The sequence below is a fragment of the Homo sapiens genome, chromosome 6 (assembly GCF_000001405.40).
Source record: "Homo sapiens chromosome 6, GRCh38.p14 Primary Assembly".
Taxonomy (NCBI): Eukaryota; Metazoa; Chordata; class Mammalia; order Primates; family Hominidae; genus Homo; species Homo sapiens.
The window spans coordinates 23971507-23975432 of record NC_000006.12 but is presented as its reverse complement, the minus strand read 5'-3'; the positions used below and the strand labels follow the sequence as shown (position 1 = coordinate 23975432).

Here is a 3926-nt window from a genome sequence, read left to right as displayed (position 1 = left end):
ATCTCCCCCATAAAAAAAAGAGTCCTGGTTCAGAATGTTTTATAAGTGAATTTTGCTGAAATTTTACTAAGTAGATATTTCCTGTTTTAGAAAAGGGAAAAATATGAAGAGAGATATAGCTTATTTTATTAGCTTAGTACAAACTTAGTGACATAATTTATTATAATACATGAAAATAAGATAGTCTAATTTTATGTATGAATGTACATGTAAAAAATCATAAATAGCAAAATGTAGACATTTAAAATAAATGAATAAATAAGAAGTAAAATGGGACTTATCCTAGGAATAGAAGGCTGGCTGACATTCACAAAAATTTATAAATCTAATCCACCACATTTACAGAATAAAGAAAAGCATAATCAATTCCTACAGTTGTAGAATAAGCAACAATCAATACAATTCGGCATGTATTTATGATAAAATCTTTTGCAAATTAGGACTAGAAGGAGATGTTCAGGAAACTATGGTGTGGTATTTAATGGAAGAAACTTCAGAAGCATTCCTATTAAATCTAGCAGCATGATAAGTATTTCTGCCCTAATATTGTGCCAGAGCCAGTCTGCTAATAAATCTACATAAATATATTTGTCTGAGAATAAATAGAGCAGCTAGAGAGCACTTAGCTAGACCTAAGCCTGCATGGGACCATAGCCCATTTCAAACACCGAGTTCAATCTATTTGATTTTCCATAACAAAAAATAAAATAACACAAAAATTAGAATAAAATATAGTAAAATATCATAACCACAGGATAGGGAAGGATCTCTTAAACCAGACACCTTCAGAACTTATAAAGAAAGAAAAAATTGTATAAAATATATGTGTTCTAAATATACATTAAATACTGTAATATACATTAAAATTCCAAATGTTCAAAAATATATTATTTCATGTAAACTACATTAATAGGTAATATTTAATTTATAATATTTACAAATAAATTTAATGTCATTTATGAAATTCAATTTATGTAAATGGATACATTTATACAATTTTAAAAAGTCCTAGATATGCATTAGAGTCTTAAACATTCAAAATGTTAGAATAAAATATATTTGGTATATGTATGGCCACAGGGTGGAAAGGATTTCTTAAGTCAGACAGAGCAAGAAGTTATAAAGAAAGACAAACTTTGATGTTTTATAAAGTTTAAAACCTTCTGCTGAAAAAAAAGACATTAAGTTAAAAGATGAACTATGGAAGACATTTGCAATATACAACGCAGATCAATAATCACTAGACACAAAAATATTACTATATGTTGCAAATCTTAAAGAGCTCAATAGAAAAATGAATCCTGTGTTAGTTTGCTAAGGATAATGGCTTCCAGCTCCATCCATGTTTCTGCAAAGGACATGATCTCATTCCTTTTTATGGCTGCATAGTATTCCATGATGTATAAGTACTGCATTTTCTTTACCCAGCCTATCATTGATGGGCATTCGGGTTGATAAAATGTCTTTGCTATTGTGAATAGTGCTGCAATGAACATAGATGTGCATGTATCTTTATAATAGAATGATTTATATTCCTTTGGGTATGTACACAGTAATGGGATTGTTGGGTCAAATGATATTTCTGTTTGTAGATCTTTAAGGAATTGCCATACCATCTTCCAAAATGGTTGAACTGATTTACATTCCCACCAACAATGTAAAAGCATTTCCTTTTTCTCTGCATCCTTACCAGCATCTGTTGTTTCTTGACTTTTTAATAATCGCCATTCTGACTTGTGTGAGATGGTATCTCACTGTGGTTTTGGTTTGCATTTCTCTAATGATCAGTGATGTTCAGCTTTTTCTCAGATGTTTGTTGGCCACATGAATGTCTTCTTTTGAGAAGTGTCTGTTCATATCCTTTGACCACTTTTTAATGTTTTTTTTTTTTTCCTGTTAATTTGCTTAAGTTCCTTGTAGACTCTGGATATTAGACCTTTGTCAGATGGATAGATTGCAAAAATTCTCTCCCATTCTGGAGGTTGTCTATTCACTCTGATGATAGTTTATTTTGCTGTGCAGAAGCTCTTTAGTTTAATTCGATCCCATTTGTAAATTTTCTTTTTGTTGCAATTACTTTAGCTGTTAATTATTCAAGACCAAAAGGCATAAAAAGAGACATATGTCCACCCAAGTGATAAGGCAATTTGGGAAACTACATTTCCTAGCATGCCCTGCCCCTTGAAAGTTAAAAATCTTGACTGGCACAGAGCACCCTGGGGCACCTGTGGCTAGCACCATTTAGAAGTAAATGGTGTAGGGCTGTGTTCTGATGTGAAGGCTTCCTGTTTCCATGGGACACTTAACCAGACACAGGACACAACACCAGAGGTGAAATTTCAGTGGATATTAAGCCTGGGGTAGAGCTTCTCTCCCCCCACAATTCTAGCTTCCAAAGATGTGGAGTTGGTGGAGCTGTCCATTGCTCTGCTGCCCTGTTTCTCCTGGGCACTGCCTCTGCCTCCCCACATCACGAGCGTCCCCACTGCTGCTAGTCTTTAGGGGGATTCTGGACTTCACCCAACTTGTACAGCTCCCTGGTGGCCTGGGCATTTTCCACAGAGGAATATCCGCTCTTCCTAACCTGGATATCCCAGTTTAGCAGCTTTTTGGAGAGATGCTTCAGAGACATGGTGGCATTCTCTGGGTGGTCATGTCGGGGGATATGGGATCATTCCAGTTGAGGAGGTGGGGATATGGGTGGTGTCATGGGTGAGGGACTTGGGGTGAAAGTACTAAAGGGCTTTGAGGTCGTCGTGGATGGCATGCCCCACCACTATCTTCCCTGTGAGTATCTTCAAGATCTGGCCCCGAGCAATCTTGAAGGGTGTGGCATTCACCATGTGCTGCTTCTGGATACCACTCCATCTGGTCCAGTAGTCCACAGTGTGGCAGGGGGGAAGGATGTACTCATCATAAAGCACATCTCCGTTGTAGTTGACAATGCTACATTGAGCCAAGAAACTAACATGCCCCTTGGGTCCTGTGCCCACCATCTCAGAGTCAATTGCCACCATCATCTTCCTTGGCAACTTCTGGGATGCTCTGGAGCATTTATTCTCAGAATGAGCTTGGGTGGAGTTCTGTGGTGCATTCTTCTGAGGATGATTCTTCTTAGAGGATTTCTTCCGGGAGCCCTTCTTCTGGGAGTGGGTTGGGTGGCTATTAATCTTTGGAAGGGCACTCCAGATCTCCCCCAACAAATCTAGTTTAGCAGCAACAGAATCGGCCTTCTTCAAATAGGCAGGAATCAGTCAAAACACTGCAGCTTTCTTGTCCAGGGACTGTCCTGACCCATTGCTGGAGGCAGTGATCTTCTTCTTTTTTAGGAAGGGAGGGGTCTTCCAAGTGCCATCCACCCTAGGAGTTTCCCCCTTTTCTGGAGGTTCAGAGTGCAACTTAGGTGACTTGCAAGGGGGCTGTTTCTTTTTACTCAGAAAGTCCCTCCATTCCAGGAGCCTCCACTTCTTGACAAAATTTCAGTGCTAGGCATCTCCTTCTAATGTTTTTTTGGGAGGAGAGTCCACCAAATCCAGATTGAGCAGTAAAGTAGACCTAAGAACAGTGGGAGGTGGAAGAGGAGTTGGGAAAGGATGGATGAAAGGAGGATGTGGGACTCATTCCCTGCTGAATCCTACTGTTCAACATGTGAAGGTCTGTAGTACACCCTCCCAAAAGGGCCCAGCTAAGACTGGAAGTGTCCGGAGCCGGATGCAGAAATCGATGCAGTGCTGACAGATATTTTATTCTTTTTGTAGCAGCTGTGAATGGGAGTTCATTCATGATTTGGCTTTCTGCTTGCCTGTTGTTGGTGCATACGAATGCTAGTGATTTCTGCACATTGATTTTGTATCCTGAGACTTTGCTGAAGTTGCTTATCAGCTTAAGAAGCTTTTGGGCTGAGACGGGAGGGTTTTCTAGATTTA

General features: G+C 38.9%; 1 pseudogene; it reads right to left on the bottom strand.

Moving 5' to 3' along the window:
* On the bottom strand, positions 2082 to 3667 carry ISG20L2P1 (ISG20L2 pseudogene 1; annotated as a pseudogene).